Source organism: Homo sapiens, chromosome 6 (genome assembly GCF_000001405.40).
Source record: "Homo sapiens chromosome 6, GRCh38.p14 Primary Assembly".
Taxonomy (NCBI): domain Eukaryota; kingdom Metazoa; phylum Chordata; class Mammalia; order Primates; family Hominidae; genus Homo; species Homo sapiens.
Genome location: NC_000006.12, coordinates 101,119,696 through 101,138,359, shown reverse-complemented (window position 1 = coordinate 101,138,359; position 18,664 = coordinate 101,119,696). Strand labels below are relative to the sequence as shown.

The window sequence follows — 18,664 nt, the reverse complement described above, 5'->3', positions numbered from 1 at the left end:
AAAAGTTTTACAAAATGCTATATTAACAGTTCTTTAATAAATGTTATACGTTAAATATGAAGGTTGCTGACATTAGAAAAGGGAGAGAAATTCTCATGAATTACCTGTACCAAATATTTTGCCCTAGAGATAATAGAAAATTAAGAAGATGAGAAGTAGGAAATGATGTGTATTTTATACTTACATTTTTTTGCTACTTCTTGATTTTAATTTTATAGTTTAATTTTTAATTTATAGTTTCCTATAAATTAAAAGATTATAGTCTATTGATTTTTCTCAGTCATATTTATTAAAATATGATTTACTTAAAATGTACACTTTTTAATTATAAATCTCTACCGTCAGTTCTATGAATCCCGATAATTGCATAGAATTCTGTAACCCTCACCAAACCAACATACAAAACAGGCCCATCACCTCATAAAATCTCCTTGTGCTTCTTTGTGGTCAAATTCTTCCTCTACTCCCATTACCTGACAACCACTGTTCTGATTCTGTCCCATTGTTACAAACAAAATCTTTCAAAATGATGATTTAATTTATCAAAAGTGTTGATTATGTTGAGTAAAATAATACAGTTCTAAAGAAGTTTGAGATTCATTCATATCATTACATATATCTATAGTCCATTTTTTATCTCATTGCTGAGTAGCATTCCATTTTATGAATGGACTGCAGTTTGTGTATCCATCCACCAGCGAAAGGATATTTGGGTTGTTTCCTGTTTGGTGCCATTACAGACAAAGCTGCTATAAACATTAGTGTACATTTTTATAATTTCTCTTGAATAAATTACCTAAGAGTGGGAATGCTGAACATTATGATAAAAATACATTTACCTTCATAAAAAACCTCCAACTTTTCCACAGTAGCTGTACTATTTTGCATTCCCATCAGCAATGTACAAGAGCTCCAGTTGCCCCATATCTCAGCTAGCACTTGGTACTAGCAGTTTTCTCTCTGTATTTTAACCATTCTAATAGGTATGTAGTGACATCTTGTTGTGAATTTAAATTGCACTTTCTTGATAACAAATCATATTTAGAATTGTTGTATGTGCTTATTTGCCATCCACATCTCTTTTTGGTGTAAGTCAGTTAGTTCAATTTTTTATTATTGTATTTTGAGAGTTATTCTTATATCTGGATACTAGTCATTTATAAGATATGTGATGTGAAAATATTTTACTCAGGCTACGGCTTGTCTTGATTTTTCTAAACTGCATACGTCTTAAGAAGAAAAGTGTTTTTTATTTTAATAAAGTGAAATTGATCTAATTTTCTTTTATGGATCGTGTTTTTGATATCATTTCTAAGAAAACTTTGCCCAACCTGATGTCACAAAGATTTTCTTCTATACTTCTTCCAGAAGTTTTATAGTTTTAGGTTTTACATTGAGGTGTCTGATCCATTTTTAGTTGATTTTTGAAATTGGTGCAAGGTATGGATCAAGGTTTTTGTTTCATATAGCTATCCCCTTCTAGCGTCTTTGTTGGAAAACATCCTGGACTTCCAGTATCAGGTTCAACATGCAGGAAGCTTAGAAGTGAGCACTCCAAACCTTATAACAAGAAAAGAAGCTGGATGAACTCAAAAGTTGATGACTTTTCTTGACCTAGCAGAGAATTGAGGCTGCAGGGCAAACTGCCACCCCTGAAATCTGGAGAGATGGGTGAATACAGAGAATGGCAGCAAGATCTTTTTACATGAAACAGAATCCACTGAACCATAAACTGGTAAGGATACTTAAGTGGTAATTTTTTTACTAATTACTGGAAGTTTAGAGCAGATTAGTATGAAAGTGAGAAACTCCTTCTGGCCATAGTCTTAGGACCCTACCCACCCTCAACAATTGTGAGTTTTACCTCAAGGAACATAATGGGGTTTCATATGGGTACTAGCGTGAGAGGGCTTTGTTGCACATAGTAGGTTTTCGTCTTTACATTTTATAGGATATTTTTTGCATTTCTCAAACTCGGGTTTTATTAAGTCACTGTTGGATTCACAGCTGTTTCTTATAATTAATGATGCCAAATAATTGAAATGTTAACTATACTTATTTGGTTGACAAGTACAAGCCAAACATCTATCATTGGGTACTATTAAAATGTTTATAAGATACATAAGGAAAAGTGAAAGTATAAGCTACCATATGAATTAGAACTCATCAAACAGCAAGTCATTTTTAAAGGAACTTATTAAAAGTTAAATTGAAAATAACAACTTATTAATAATGATGTCTTACCAAACAGTTGTTTAAATTCAATTGTTTGTTTCTGAAATGTGGTTTTAAGGAGAAAAATTAAAATTTAAAGTAGATTAGTTAAGGTTAACACTAGACTGGATAAATGAGGGGCATACAAATACAATACAAATAAAGAACTTAAAAGGGGGAAAGCACTTTGGTGAATATAAGCATATTTCAATAATGTAGCTTGAAAACATGGAAGGAGTTGGAAAAAACAGAATGGTACCAAGTGCCACAAAATCAAGAGGAAAAATATATAAAAATGCATAAGGATTAGCTTGATTGAAGAAAGAAATGCCTGTGTCTTTTCAAATGGAAAAAGGAGCCAGGCGGAAAAGTAGCTTAAATGTTTCCTAATTGTAAACATCACAAATAAGATCAAGAAACATTGCAAAGAATTGATGGAACAAAAATGAGCAATCGGAATTGGAGGAAAATAGGCATTCAGGTAATGTCGAGCTCATATTACACATATAGAAATGAGAGAAAAATATTTAAACAGAAAAAATAATATTTGGAAAAGGTTACAAAAAAAGAATATACCAAAACTTAATATGTTAAAAGGTAATATGATTCAAACATTTAAGCAAAGAAAGAAATGTCAATTGCACGCCAAGAAAATAAAATAGAGGTGTTTGAAGACATTACTATCTCAATAAAATATTCTCACTTAAAATGACAGAGAAGGATCCAAAAGGCTAAACAGAATACATGAAAGTCATAAAAGTAGACAATCAAAATGAATCGACCCACAATAAGTTACCACAAAATCTAGTTTCCCACGTGGTTGTTTGAATCACTTGTGTCAATTTTTTTATGAATGTGGTAGACGGAAAACACTAAAGAAAGGCCATTGATCTGGAATGTAATTATTTCAAAAATGACTACAATAAATAATGCAAAAATACAAAAAAGAAGAGATGTAACACCTGCCAAGTGTCTATTATGCAATTAAGCGAAATCATCACAGCAACACTTTAAAGTCAATATTATTGCTCAGATTTTACAGACAAGGAAACTAAACTCTAGCAGGCTAAGAAATTAACCCAAGGAATACCACTGGAAGCCAAGAAAAGGGACTCAGATGTGGTTCTCCGAAGGCAAAGCCTGTGTTCTTTGCTTCCTTCCCTACTACAACTAAATCTAGTGATGTACACAACAATGGACACTATTATTTGTAGTAGGAAAGGAAAAAAAATGAAAGTGCAAATTATAGGACTCTATAGTAGGAATGGTAGGAATAAGGGCATTCAGTATAAAATTGTTCAACTTCGTTGTATGTTTAAAAACTTTCAAAATAAAATGTTGCCATCTGGGGGTAGGAAAGATACCTGACTGAAAGATCTAAAGAGAAAAAAAACTCTAGACATTAAATGTGGAGTGGTCACCTCAACTGAGTATCAAAAAACTCAAAGGCCCATTTTCTTAAAAAATATCTTCACCAGAGTAGCAAAATATATGTACATCTCTTTTGGTTAAATGGCTTTATAGCTCTCGTGTTGAAATAGAGATACATTGCCTGGATTGGAATAAGATCTTAAACCATTTAAATCCATGAACATATTATGATAATTTCATCATCTTAATACTTTAGAAATTATACAAGAGGCCCTAGAATAATGGGGCAAGGAACACTAATTAATTTAGTGTTCCTTGATAACACTAATTAATAATAATAATAAGAGCTTTACACCTATACTGTGTTTACTATGTTACAGACACTGTTCTAAATACATAACAAGCAATAACTCATGTAAGCTTCTTAAAAATAAGACGAAGAAGGTATTTTTATTATATTCTACAATTGATAACAGTAGTTTGACTCCAGATAACACATTCGGAGCCATTGTACTGCATAGCCTTTCTGAGGTTCATTGCTATCTCCAACATACATGGAACCCCCTGGACACCTGGGAGAGGTAAAGTGTTAAAAGTGATGGTGGTAAAGCTAAGGGGGTTGGGTAGAGGGGTTGGTGCAGAGGTAGGATTTAAAATGAAATGTACAGCCAGGCTTGGTGGCTCACATCTGTAATCCCAGCACTTTGGGAGGCTGAGGAGGGCGGTTCATGAGGTCAGGAGTTTGAGAGCAGCCTGGCCAACATGGTGAAATCCCGTCTCTACTAAAAATACAAAAAAAATTAGCTGGACATGGTGGCGGACACCTGTAATGCCAGCTACTCGGGAGGCTGAGGCAGAAGAATCGTTTGAACGTCAGAGGCGGAGGTTGCAGTGAGCCGAGATCGTGCCACTGCTCTCCAGCCTGGGTGACAGGGCGAGACTCTGTCTCAAAAATAAATAAATAAATAAATCATACATGACTTCACTTACGTTCTCACCAGTGCATTTTTTGTGATAGGAAAAGAAAGGAAAACTATATCTACATGATGTTTTGGATAAAATAATTATTTAGAAACATGATAGAAAGTCAGTAAGAAGCTAAAAAGGAAAGGAAAAGAAAAATATAGATGTTTATGCACTGGAAGTAATGAAAATTGAGCAAAGAAAGGGGGAAAAGATTATTGTGATTTATAAAAATTAATTTTTACAAAATTTCTATCTTAGTTCAGCTGCTATAACAAAGTATCATAGACTGGGTGGCTTATAAACAACAGAAATTTATTTCCCAAAGATCTGAAGGCCAGATGTCTCATATCAGGGTGCCAGCATGGTCGGTTTCTGGTGAAGGCGCTCTTCCAGGCTGCAGGACTGCCATCATCTTGTTGTATCCTCACATGGTAGGAAGAGGACTAGAGAGCTCTCTGGGGTCTCTTTTGTAAGGGCACTAAACCTATTCAAGAGGACTCCAGATCCACGACCAAATTACCTCTCTACCTCCTAATACCATCACATTGGGGATTAGGATTTCATATGAAATCCCAACATATGAATTTTGGGGAGACATAAACATTCAGTGCATATAAATTTGGGGAGACACAAACATTCAGTGCATAACAATTGCTAAGTCAACAGTAATAACATTTTAAGTAGAAAAGTATCTGAAGATAGAGCATGGAGTGAGTCCATTAGGCCAAATGCAAGACAGGTGCAAACCATTATGCATTTCTATACAAATGTTTTTCCTTTTAAATGTTTCTAGTTGCATTATTTTATTATCATGTTTTCCTACTCTGTACCCCAAAATTTTCTGGTTGGAGAAAATCCCTCATCATATGTTATGAGGGCTCTGATTGCATAGGCTGAAGGGCCCAGAAACTCCCTCCTTGCCCTCAGAGAGCCAAATCAAAGATACATGACCTAAGATCTGTCAATTGGATGTTTGTACTAGGGAGTTCCAGTCCTGCAGGAGTAATACAAACATTCAGTGGCTGGAATCTATGTTGGAGGCCTAGACCAAAACCATGTCACCTCCAATAAGCAAACAGAGACTGGGAAGCCTCAAGCAGTACTCAGGCTGTTCTAAGGCATGATCTAGGCTGTTTACCACTGCAAGTGGCCTTACCTCTTGCCATTTCTAAGCTTAATTCGTCAGCACTTCTATTGCTTCTATAATTTCTCTTCCAATCAACTCATTTTCAGCTTAAATTTGGTTTAGTTTTATTGCTTGTGACTAGAAAACCTGAAAAACAAAAATTGGTCCTAAGGAGGGGCCACAGCATTGAAGGCAAGATGCAGAAGGCCACACTGCAACAAAGAAAGTATGAAAACATGAAGACCTGGTGTGGTGCTTTTTTCAGTGGCATTAAGTAGATAAGAGAGGACATGATAAGCTCATATCCTCAAATGTTGGGCTAAAAGAACAAACTGATACCCAGAGGCTTTCTGTGAATGTACTAAAGAATTGCTTCACTGTTAAACTTCAGGGCAGAGGTGGCAAAAAGCCCAAACTTTGGGGGTGGGCAAGTAATTTGTGTGGGTTTTTTATCTTTTTTTTTTAAGACAGCGTCTCACTATGTTGTCCAGGTTGGAGTGCAGTGGCATGATCATGGCTCACTGCAGACTCAACCACCCAGGCTCAAGTGATCCTCTCACCCCAGCCTCCTAAGTAACTGAGACTACAGGTGCATGCCACCATGTCCAGCTAATTTTTTTTTTTTTTTAGAGATGGAGTCTTGCTATGTTGCCTGGGCTGGTATCAAACTCCTAGACTCAAGTGATCCTCCTGCCTTGGCCTCCCAAAATGGGTGAGCCACTGCATCCAGCAGTAATTTGTTGAATTACGTCCACGGAAGTTATAGCTTCACCACTTCCTTTTATATGGAAGTTACGGTATTGATGAAGAAAAAGTAAGACCCTATAAATTAGAACAGGTATAAATAAAAGGCTTCAGAAGACACAAAATACTTTAAACTCCAACCTCTTATTCACACCTATGTGTCCCTCCCTTGTCAGCTGACATATCCACTACTTCATTTTCTGATGAAGTTCTTCCTCCATTGCTTGGAATCATGTCTTACCTGGGGAGTTATCTTAAAAGATGAAGTCAATATTCAAGCCTCTTCTGCCTCAGTCTAGCATACCTGTAAGGTCAAATACATCAAAGAATTTTTCAGTGTACTGCCTTGAGCAGCTGAGAAGGATTATAATTGTTTTCTCAGCTGATTATTAGAAACTTGGAGTCAGTGATGGACAACACTAAAATGAGGCTGACATGCCAAAAAGTCCTTGATGGTTTCCATTAAAAATTCCTGATGGCTCTACATTCAAAATGTATTCAGGGTACAATAGTTCTGACCATCTAACTGTATCCTGGACTGAATCACCACCATCTCTTGCCAGGATTACTGCAGATGCTTCCTAATTGGTTTATGGACTTCTACCCTCATCTCCCTTACCTCGTCACCATAATTTTTTTCCCAATTCAGCAGACAGATTGATCTTTTAGAAACCTAAGTTCTGCACTGTGACTTTCTTCCAAACCTTGCAACAGAGTAAAACCTCACACAGTAAAAGCCAAACCTTTAGAATGGCCCATAAACTCTACATGGCACAGCTCCCTGCTGGCCATCTGACCCTTTCTTTTACCACCAATTCCTCAGTCACTCTGCTCCAGCCACACTGGCCTCCCTGCTGATCCCTGAACTCGCTGAGCACAGCCCTCCTTAGGGACTTTGTACTTACTGCTCCTTCTCTCTGGACCTCTCTGTCCCTAGATACCTATTTAGTTGGTTTCCTCACCTCCTTTAAGTCTTTGCTTGCCTTCTCAATAAAGCCTACCTTGATCAATCTATTTAATTTTGCAACCTTCCCCCTTCTTGCCACCCAGCATTCTAGATCCCCCTTGCCTGCCTTTCCTTTTTAGTTTACAGTTGCATGCAGTCTTCTAACATGCTATGTAATAATTTAATTAGTAAGTTTACTGTTGATCATCTATCTTCTTGTGGTAGAATATAAGACTCCAGGGATCTGGTCTCTTATGCCAGTCCTTAGCTTACCTATTTGTCCTCATATTTCTTCTGAGCCCTTCTGTTCATTCTGTATCTAGGAGGTGCTGATTTCTTCAGGCTGCATTCCTAGATCAGCTACCTTGGAAATAAAGGGAGACAAGAAACTCGAAATGAGTTGGTTAGGTAGATATTTTGTCTTTCAACCCCCAACACATCATGACCCTCCAAAATCCTGATATTTCTTGAAAGATCATGAATGCTATTGGTCTACTAAGATAACATTAATTGGAATGAAGATATTGTTTACTAAATAGTAACCTGAAGGCTTTAAAGAGTTAATGTCACTTTCAAATAGGCTAAACATAACCAGACCATGTATTTGGGGTGGGGGAAAAGATGAGGTTTTGTTCAATTTGTGCTCAGATATTTGTCTTACGATATATAGTTTTTCTTGAAATTCTAAAAATAATATATTCATTTGGAAAGGCATAAAAGTTGAAAATTATTATAGGAAGTTTCTAAAGCTAATTAATTTATCTTCTCTTGATTATTTTCCATAAATATTCCCTGATGTTTCCTTCTGTCTTTTATGGTTTTTGAAGTAGTTTGCAGTGTTTCAGAAACAGTCATGGTGAGCTAGCTGCATGCTAGTGTTCCAAAGTCTGTTTCCATATTTCCATCAGACAGTAGGCTATTTGTTCTTGGATATGTCCTAAGGCAATCTTGACACAGAAATGCAAAGTAATCACAGTTATCTGGAATGTTTGATTAAAATTTACAGTGATAGCTTTGGCAGCAGAAATATTCTTATACACTAAGATGTCATAACGCTTGTTTTTTAGACTGTGATTAGACAATGAATCCATATAATCCTGCAAAAGTACCTTTACATTTATTACAAGGGCTCCTGTTTATTCAACCTGGCTATATGTACTGGACAATTTACAAACATTATTTCTTTGAATTCTCAGAACCATCCATTTTACAGATGAGAAATTGAAACTGTGAGTCATGCAGTTATAAGTGACAGAGATGAAATTTCCATGCAGATCTCTCTGATCTCAAATACTCAGTTGTTTTTACTAAATCTGCCACCTTAGGCTTTACAAAAGGTAGGATAGATAGAAATAGAAATGCACAAATAACTACGAAATATTTTTGATTCCCAATTAATATAAACTTATTTCAGGAGGGAGTGAAAGTATTCATTTCAGAAGGAAAGTGACGTGTATTCAAGCCAGAAGATCCAGTTGAAGATGAGGCCAACTGGGAATACTGTCTGTTCCCTTTTGTGGTAGTGGTAACTCCATATAATATATCACAAAATTTCAATGAGTTTTAAATTAATAAGGAAAAGGCTGAGCTAGCTAATATTTAGATAAAGAGTCATTGAAATATCTAGGAAGAGTACACAGAGAAAATTTTCTGTACTTCTACTTAATAGTAGTAGATCATATTTTTCATGGTTTAATATGAGGCAGTCACTGGGAGAAACACTTTCATGCAATCCATAATGTCCTCCACACTCTTATTATCAACTACCTTAGTTGAGGAAATTGAGACTTACATAGGTTCAGAATTTGCCCAAGATAACAAATGGGAGAGTTGGCAATTAAAGTCTATGTTTTTAACCGAAATTCTCTTAAGTACTATAAAGCATTGGTGGTATTGCCTCTGAACTGAAATGTACCTTCACTGCATGTTCCCTCACCCCCATGCAAGGTCACAACATCTTATAAAAACAATTGAAATTATTTAAATTGTCCTAACACAAAATATTAAACATAGTAGTATTTGAAATCAGCTATATAGAGTTATGTAATATAGATTATGAATGTATTTGTTCTGTAATAGTAAAAAAAGAAATCAACTTTAAACAAACTATTTTAGATAGGGATCTTCTGGCCATAATAACACTCCTAGTGTGTCACATCTTCTTGTATCCACATCTTTGTGTAGTTCTCTCTCACAGTGACTTTAAGTGTGGAGCATGCCTTGCTTTGGCAGTAGGATGTAAGCAAATATGACACAAGTAGAGGCCTGAAAGATACTAACACATTGAGGGGGATGTTCTTTTGGAATACTACCATAACCTTGGTAGTATCCTGCTGGAGAAACTACATGGAGAACACAGGCACATTGGCTAATATCTACAGATAACTCTCAGACACGTAAGTAATGTTATTGTGGACTATCCAGCTCCAGTTGAACCATAAGAGGACTATAGACACAGGAGTGACTACAGGCAATATCAACAGAAGAACCACCAGCTGAACACAGCCCAAATAACAGAATCATCAGCATATAAATGGCTGTTACCTTAGTCAGTAGGTCTTAGGATAGCCTGTTACCAAAAATAAATAACTGATACACTTTTTTTTTCTTTTTATACACACTCAAGCACCTGTGTGTATACATACTATTCTCTGCCAACATATTTTCACGTATTATCTGCTCTTGACACTGAAAGAAAATGTTACAAAATGTCTAAGCCATATTTCTCGATATTGTGTGAATCATTGATATTGCTGTCTTTTTGGTTGCACTTCTATAAACCTTATGAATATGTCACAAATACAAATTTACTGCACTGTGGTATAAAACTAGCAAATATGATGCATACTAAAATATAAAATGTTATTTCATTTAAACATTTACATATAAAAATATTTAGTCCCTATCTTCCTCTTTTAGTGATTAAAAAATAAAAGACACTCATAAGATGGGTAAGACTGACAGTAAAGTGAGTAATACTTTAAAATTCAGAAACATTGACTTAAAGTCACCTTCATGGACAGATACGAAAATGGACATCTGTTTATCAGAACCTCAAAAATATTATCCTCATCTGTATTATTCATAGATGACTGAAATAGCAAGAAGATATTAAATATTTTGGCACAGGGCATTGCCCCCAGTCAAAATGCAAATCCTTGGTTAGGATAATATCTCTAGCATCATCATTAACAATGTAGTATAACTATATCGGATTCCTCCTTGAGTATGGGTTTCCCAGGATATTAGGAAGTGTGTGAAGAATCTATGACCCTAAGGGACTATGACTAAGAAGAGAAAGGGTGGGAGACACACCTGATCCATTTTATTATTTTTCTCAGAATCGGGAATGGAATCAGGCTAACCATATATGCTTTCAGGGAGCAGGTAGGGGGTACCAGCCTCATGAGTCCCAAACTCTCCCAATTTTTCATTCAACACTGTAACTTTTATGCCGGCCTCTCCTAGAAACTTGCACAACAGAGAAAAGGAGAGTCACATAGGATTTTGAGAAATATGAGAAAGAATTCTAGAAATATATTCAAAGCTCTGCTACTTTGACCTAAGTTCTCCTAGTTCTTTCTGAAAAATGAAAATAATAAATCATTTTTATTTGATTGTTCTAAGGCAAAGATTAGCAAATTCTGGCCCATGGGCCAAATCCAGCCCACTTCCTATTTTTATACAGCTTGTGAGCTATTTCTAGTCTAGTCTACAAGGCACACAACATAACCAGAAATGTGACAACTTTTTCTTCTGATCTTTATTAAAAAGTAAACAAAATGATTCATGCCAAAATTTAATACTAATGAAGATATCACTAAAAATATTACATTTTGTAAGCTCTTGAAAACAAGGAATGTTTTGTGAACTGCCATGAAAAAAATAGTGTTTAACATTTACCAGAGGCTCATGAAAATCTTTTGTATGAATGAATCCATTTCAACATTTTATCCATTACTAACAACTAGCTATCTTACTTGCTTATGTACAGACAGAAAAATCCTTTAAAAATGCAGAGAATATTAAAAAATTAGACTAATATAGCCAAGAAAACCAATTTGGAAGATGAAATTATTTAGACTGGTTGCCTTTACTGCTCTAATTACAGATAATAGCTCTGCTCCTCTCTGCTTTGACTTGTTTGTGTGGACCTTGTCTTAAAGGACAAAGTGGAGTATTTGAGGATAAGGAAAGTGGAAGATTAAATATTTCAAAGAGAATCAGAGGAATCCTGAGAGCAGATGGGCAGATTAGAGAAAGAATAGCAGAGCCACGGCAGTAGCTGCACCTGTCAAAATTTGGCTGGAATATATGTTCCCAGTTGATCTGATTTTACAGTAACAGGATGAGTCCATGAAATACTTATCCTGACACTTAAAAATTGTGGATTTTACGGTTTGCTGCTGCTCCCGCTGGGCTGCCTGTTCCATTCAACTATGCTGAATCTACATATCTGGAAATGGCATCACTTGTCAGAGGTTGAACTGCTTCCAAAAAGGCCAGTTTAGTCCCAAGAGACCCAAGATTGACAGTGAGGTCACAAGGTATTATAAGAATATAATAAAATAAATAATGGAATGTTGGGGGAAAATATTGCAGTATTTTAGTAATCAGTGAAATTGATAAATCATAAAAAGAATATTTATTACTTGGCTCTGAAACTTTAACAGAATAGAATTTGGTTTCCTTGAACTCTGTGATGCCTATAGTGTTTAAATCTATAATAAATAAAGACTAAAATTGTAGATACTGTGGCTCCCATCTTGGTAGAGTATTGAGATTTGGACTCTGTGAATAGAAGAAAGAAGGAAGGGAACTGGGATGGGTGTAGATATAGAATAGCAGCCACCTCATTTCCCTACCACCAAATAGCCTTGTTGTCCATTCCCTCCTTACACTACTACCGAATCGTCTACCAACACTCTGAAATACTTGTATCAAGATTCCCCATTAGTCAGTGATATTGCCAACTCATGTTCCAGAATATGTGACCTAAGTCCCTTGAGTGAAACTCCTAGAAAAACAGAAGAGTAAATATTGAATCAAATGTCTTTTAAAAAGCTTAAATTTATGTATGAGTTGGCAAGAAAATAAGAAATACTGAGTTAAGGCAAAAAACCAAAAAGACATGGGAAGCATTGAAATTGGCTTTCACCTTGTGAGCATTTGCCAAATTCTGATACATTTTTACTTCCGTTTTTATGACTTTGGAACCTGTCAGGGGTTATATGGGGGTGGGGGAAGTCCAAGGTCTCCTAACTTACAGAATATGAAAAGCCCTTCCCTCATAAAACTGGACCTCAAAGAACTGCAATCTCAGTGGAAAGGTGAGAGCGAGCATAAAATAATTCATCCGACCACCCACCTCTAAAAAAAAAGACTACAAAGAAAAACACCTTGGCTCCTGTTGAAGGAGAACTCCCTTGAGAATTTATAAACAAAAGCCAGGCTTCACATGGGTTTTACATTAACTCATGCTACTTATGCTACTTATTTAATCTGAAAACCTCAAGTTGAGAATGTAAAACATTTCTAGACTTGAATTAGTAGAAGACAATGCAAATCTTCTTTGTATAAACTTAACTTTATTCTAGGTCTCATGCTCCAAGAAATATTTACTCAGTCAAAATTACAAAACACAGAAATATGTCACTTAGTAGAAAAAAAAGAAAACAGAATCAGACAGACAAACAGTTTAAAATATTCAACTATCAAACTATAAAATAAATGTTTATGTTTTTTAAAATAGGAAGGATCAATAGTATAAAGATCAAGAAACTAAAAATGGCCAGCCATATTTGAAAAGTAACCAAGCAATTTTTGGAAATAAAAATATAACAATTAAAGTTGAAACTCAAATAGTGAATTTAATAAAGTTTTATTTAACAGTAAGTTAGATCTGAAAACTGCAGCAGAAAAAAACAAAGATGTGAAAAACATAAATGAAATGTTAAGACATATAGAAGAGAGAATAAGGTCTAAAAATTTTCATCAGTTAAATTGTCTATGTTTTGAAAACTATCAAGCAAGATGAATAAAAAATTTCCCTAAGCAAATCACTACAAAACTACAACTAATAAAACAAAGAATATCTTAAAACAGAAGAAAATGATAGGTTTACCTTTAAAGAAACAACAATTATACTGACAGCAGATTTTCAGTGGTACCAGTGCAAGCCAGATGCAAGTGGAATATTTTCAATGTGTTGAAAAAAAATTCTTTATCTAAATTCTATACCAAGTAAAAATATCTTTTAAGAAAAAGATAACACAATATATTTCTATGCAATGAAAACCTGATGGTTTGCTCACCAGTGGACCATCACTAAAATAATCTCTAAATTATATGCCTCAGGCAAAAGGAAAGTGATTCTTATGGAAAATCTGAGAAGTAAAAGGAAAAGAATATGAAATGTCCTTCCCTCATAAACTGGACTGGACCTCAAACACTACAATCTCAGTGAAAAGGTGAGAGTGAGTTTAAAATAATTCATTCAACCACCTGCCTCTCAAAAAATGACCATAAAGAGAATCCCCTTGGCTCTCTGTGAAGGAGAACTCCTTTGAGAATTCGTAAACAAAATCCAGGCTTCACATGGTTTTTATTTGAACTCATGCTACTTATTTAATCTGAAAACCTCAAGCTGAGAATGTAAAACATTTCTAAGCTAGAACTAGGAAAGTCACTGGTTAATATTTAAATAAATCTAAATATATATTGACTGCATTAAACAATAACCATGTATTCTGGGATAGAAAATATAAAACTACAATGCATGACAATAAAACATATTTAGAAGAGAAATAATTGGATTTACAGACATTAAATTATATTGTTTTGAAAGAGATGGAAAATATTGATTAAATTTAGACTTCAAAAAATATTCATGTTAAATTTGATAGAGTAACCATTAAAAATACATTTAAAAACCTATATTTTCAAACTGACAGAAGAAAAATTTAAATAAGAAAAATAATCCAAAAGAAGGCAAGAATAGAGAACAATGAAGCATAGAAGCAAGATAGTCAAAAACACAAACTATGACTGTAGAAATAATTTCAAATATATCAGTAATTCCAATAAATGCAAATGCAAAAAAAAATTTAAAAAATAAAGATTATGATTAATTTATTGGATTCTGTCAGATTTCTTTTTAAAAAGCAATTTATAAAATATACATCTAAGACATAGGATTCAGAAATATTAAAAGTAAAATGATGGAAAAAGATTTATCAATCAAAAGAAACTGGTGTCACGCTAATGGTATCAGACAAAATAGACTTGAAGGGAAAAAATGGATTATTACAGATAAAAATATTACTACATATTTAATAAAAGATTCAGAAATATATAAAAATCCTAAGCCTTTACTCATATAGTAGCCTTTTAAGTATAAATAGCAACAATCAAGAATTACAGGAAGAAGTCAACCTAAGCAAACAAAAATTATTGTTACATCAGTAAGTTATATATTTAATGGGTGCACTTAACAAGCTTTACATACATAAAAATATATAAATAACTGGATCCAACAATTGCAGAATACACATTGTTTTCAAACTCACAGAGAACATTATAAAATTCATCAGATAAATGAAGAGTGCATCTCAACAAATTTTAAAGGGCTAGTATAACCATCACATTTTCTGATCTTAATAACTTTAAAAGAAATCAATAATGAAAATATAACCATTAAAATCTCCATATATTTGGATATTAAGAAATATCTAAATAATCAAGGAGATAAAAAAAAGAAACCACAAGGAAAATAAGAAAATATTTTCAACTGAAAGATAATGAACATACTACATATTAAATTGGGTAGAATGCATTGGAAGCATTATTTATAATCATAAACATTTGTATTAGTAAAGAAGAAAGTTTAAAAATTAATGAAGTAAACATGCAATTAGCTTTAGCACTTTTCTATGCGACCCTGCAAAAGTGACTTAACCCCTCTGTGCCTCAGTTTCCTCATCTAAAAATAGTACGAATATAGTACTTATTGAAGATTGTTTTGAAGATCAAATGAGTATGAAAAATATTTCACATTTCCTCCAGATCTACTCTCCTGACTTCTCCACTCTGTTCTGTATCTCAGGACGCTTACCTACATAGACTACAATTATAAGACTTTCCGGATCTCTGTAAATCTCAAGCAATAGCAGGAAATAAGTTGATCAGAAAAGAAAGAATAAGGATACTTATTCACATAGCTCCTTCACTCTACGCCAAAATTTGGCAATGGTTGCATTCCTAAACTTAAGATTACAAGTCCTGTTTGGTGGCCAGGTTACAGTAACTGCCTTCTCCTGTACTTTAAGGCTTAGAGGTGGCAGAGGCTTACCGTTGTTGTTACCCTAGAGTCTTTTACCATCTATTGTTGGTTTCCTTTAATCCTAACCACAATGTTGTAGAAAGGGAGAGAAATACGGATCAAAGGGTACAAAGTATCAGTTAGACTGAAGCAATAAGTTTTAGTAATTTATTGCACTGCCTAGGAACCACAGTTAATTATATTGTATATTTCAAAATTGCTAAAAGAATAGATTTTTAATGTCCTTTTAATGTCCTCATCACAAACAAAAAGCTGATGAGGTGATGGGAATGTTAATTAGTTTGACTCTACAATGTATACATAGATCAATGTATACACGACATCATATTCCATATAATATATATAAAGTGATTTGTCAATTAGAAATAAATTAATAAAAAAGAAATTTTAAAAGGTTGGTGAGAGGGATGGATTTAATATAGATTATTGGCAGTAGACTGTCATACATAAACATAATGGCAGTAGAGAAGGGGAGCAAATACAAGATTACCTAGATTTATTTTTCTTGCTAGAATTAGGCCATTTAATAAGCATGTCTCAGCAACTTTCAGACTTAGATGGATTTAAGGTTTAAAGTCCCTCAGGTGAGATAAGAATAGTATGGAAAATAATGCACTACGAGGAAGTTGAGATTAAGAAATACAGAAATCCTTATAATGATTGAACTTGGAAAAAAACAACAGGAATGGTATTGGGCAGAAATGTCTTGCCCAGTGTCCTTCCCACACCCATATTCTTCTGGTTTCTCTCTTTGATAACTATTTTTCAAGTTCAGTTTTAGAAAATAAAGAACTCCCCTCTCTATCCCTTGTGTTACGCTCTGAAACAGGGATATTTACACTAGTTCTGAGAACTGAACATCACTAGGAGTCACCAGCATTCTGTGCTTCTGCAGGGAAAAAGCTAATTCAATTGTGCCTGGATATTTTATTGAAATGAGAACAAAGAATGGGTAAGTAAAACAAATAAAATACCACCCCTAATTTACACAGAATTGATATGATAAAATGGCATGGAGCCATAATAATCATCTTTGTTGAAGAAAGCTCCCCTTACAATCCTTTGAGACTTGGCTCAGATTTCCAAGAGAACCCTGTGGATCCTCAGGTTAGGTAGAAGTCCAACCTCTCCATTTTGATAATAACATGAATATGTAATCAATAAATTCCCCATTAAACAGAAATTTATAATAACTTCGTTTCATGCATTACTGTAGGGCAACGACAATGTTGCTTTATCATCATATGCCTGCACTGTATCATGTCATGTGCATAAACATAGGTGTTCGATAAATATTTTTTTGAATTGTGGCACCAAAATCATCCCATATAAAATAACGTGATGCCACCACACATATATGCTCCGCTTAATCTAAATGCCACCAAAAATAGCCCTCCAATACAAGGTACAATATTTAATCCATTATTGAAATAAAGAAATACATTCAACTATATTAATATAAACAAGAAAATTTTCCTCAGGCAGGCTATACCCTGGCTCAAAACAAAACTTCAACTGATGCCATTGATATGTAATGCAGATGCTTCATGCCAGATGAAGTATTTGAAATAGGAAAACAGTGAATGTGATTGTTCACATTCAACTTTGAATACAGATATCTTAAGTGCTAAGCTTTTTTATACAGCCTTTTTTTCTTGGCAAGATTATTTCATCTCCTCAAAACATTTTCAAACAATTTAATAATGTAATATGACGTAATGTAATGTCCTCAAACAATACCAGAGTGTATGAAAGACAATATAATACAATAACGGGGTCCCTGTAACAACTCCAGCCCTGATTCGCTAATGACCTAAGTATATCATTATATATATAATACAAACTATTTGTACTAGAAGTTTCTAAAACTTCATGAGAAAAAGACATATCGTGCCTCTATAAAAATAGCCTTTTCTCATTAAGAATATTTGTCGTTCAAATATTCTTCGTTCAAATATAAGAATATTCAATTCTAAATATTTAAGATTTTATGAAAGTTAAAACAAGGGAAGTAACTCATTCCTATAGTGAAGTAGAAGCACCTGGTGCAGACTAGAAAAGAAAGACTAAGAGAATCTAGGTTAAGAGTAAAGTATATTAGGGAGAAAAAACCCTATCAGCTTAGCATCAATTCTTTTTTCACATTCCACTGACAACTCTCAATGATATTGAATTTGGTTATATGTGTTCTCATTGGAAGCCAAATTTTTGTTTAACATTTTAGAAAGCAGTGCAGCACCTCTGGTGGAATACCCTCTTATCCTATGGGGAAGGGTCTCAAGTATGACCTCTTCAGGCCTTTTTTCTTTAGTCATGATTTTAAGAGCCCACCAAAATGTCCACCCTCTCCCTCCTGAGGTTGCCTAAGCAGGATAACTTTGAAGTTCAGCCCCAAATCTGATAGTATGCATACCTAAACTTCACTGTAGAAAAACTCCAAGGGTTATTATTAGAAGTTTGTTGCGAGGTTGGAGAAGTCAGTAACTTTATAATTTCAACTGTTTTCTGAGAGCCTCTGGGACACTGTCCTAGATAAGCATGGTGTATAAAACATTGGTATATGATTTCTTATATCAAATAGCATGGTAAGACATAGCCTGGCTTTGCTTCACCAATATTAAAGGAAGTGGAATACTCAAAGGCAGAAGTGCAACATAGGGCTAGAGTACAGACACTGAAGCCAAGGTAAGGTTCAAATGCTCCATTGTTTCTAAGCCTCAGTTTCTGTACCCATAAAATGGTGCTAATGATATTTACCTCATGGGGCTATTAAAAGATTAAGTTGGCCGGATGCAGTGGCTCACGCCTGTAATCCCAGCACTTTGGGAGGCTAAGGTGGGCAGATCACCTGAGGTCGGGAGTTCAAGACCAGCCTGACCAACATGGAGAAACCCCATATCTATTAAAAATACAAAAAATTAGCCTGGCATGTTGGTGCATGCCTGTAATCCCAGCT

General features: G+C 34.6%; 1 long non-coding RNA gene across 2 annotated transcripts in view; it reads right to left on the bottom strand.

Moving 5' to 3' along the window:
* LOC107984041 (uncharacterized) overlaps window positions 1–18,664 on the bottom strand; it is a 367,164-nt gene that overhangs the window by 110,261 nt on the left and 238,239 nt on the right. For both annotated transcript variants that reach the window (XR_007059692.1, XR_002956381.2), the window contains exons 4-5: window positions 7,641–7,731; window positions 6,663–6,725 (exon numbers count right to left, since the gene is read on the bottom strand). This is a non-coding gene — a long non-coding RNA (uncharacterized LOC107984041). The remainder of the gene's footprint in view (window positions 1–6,662; window positions 6,726–7,640; window positions 7,732–18,664) is intronic.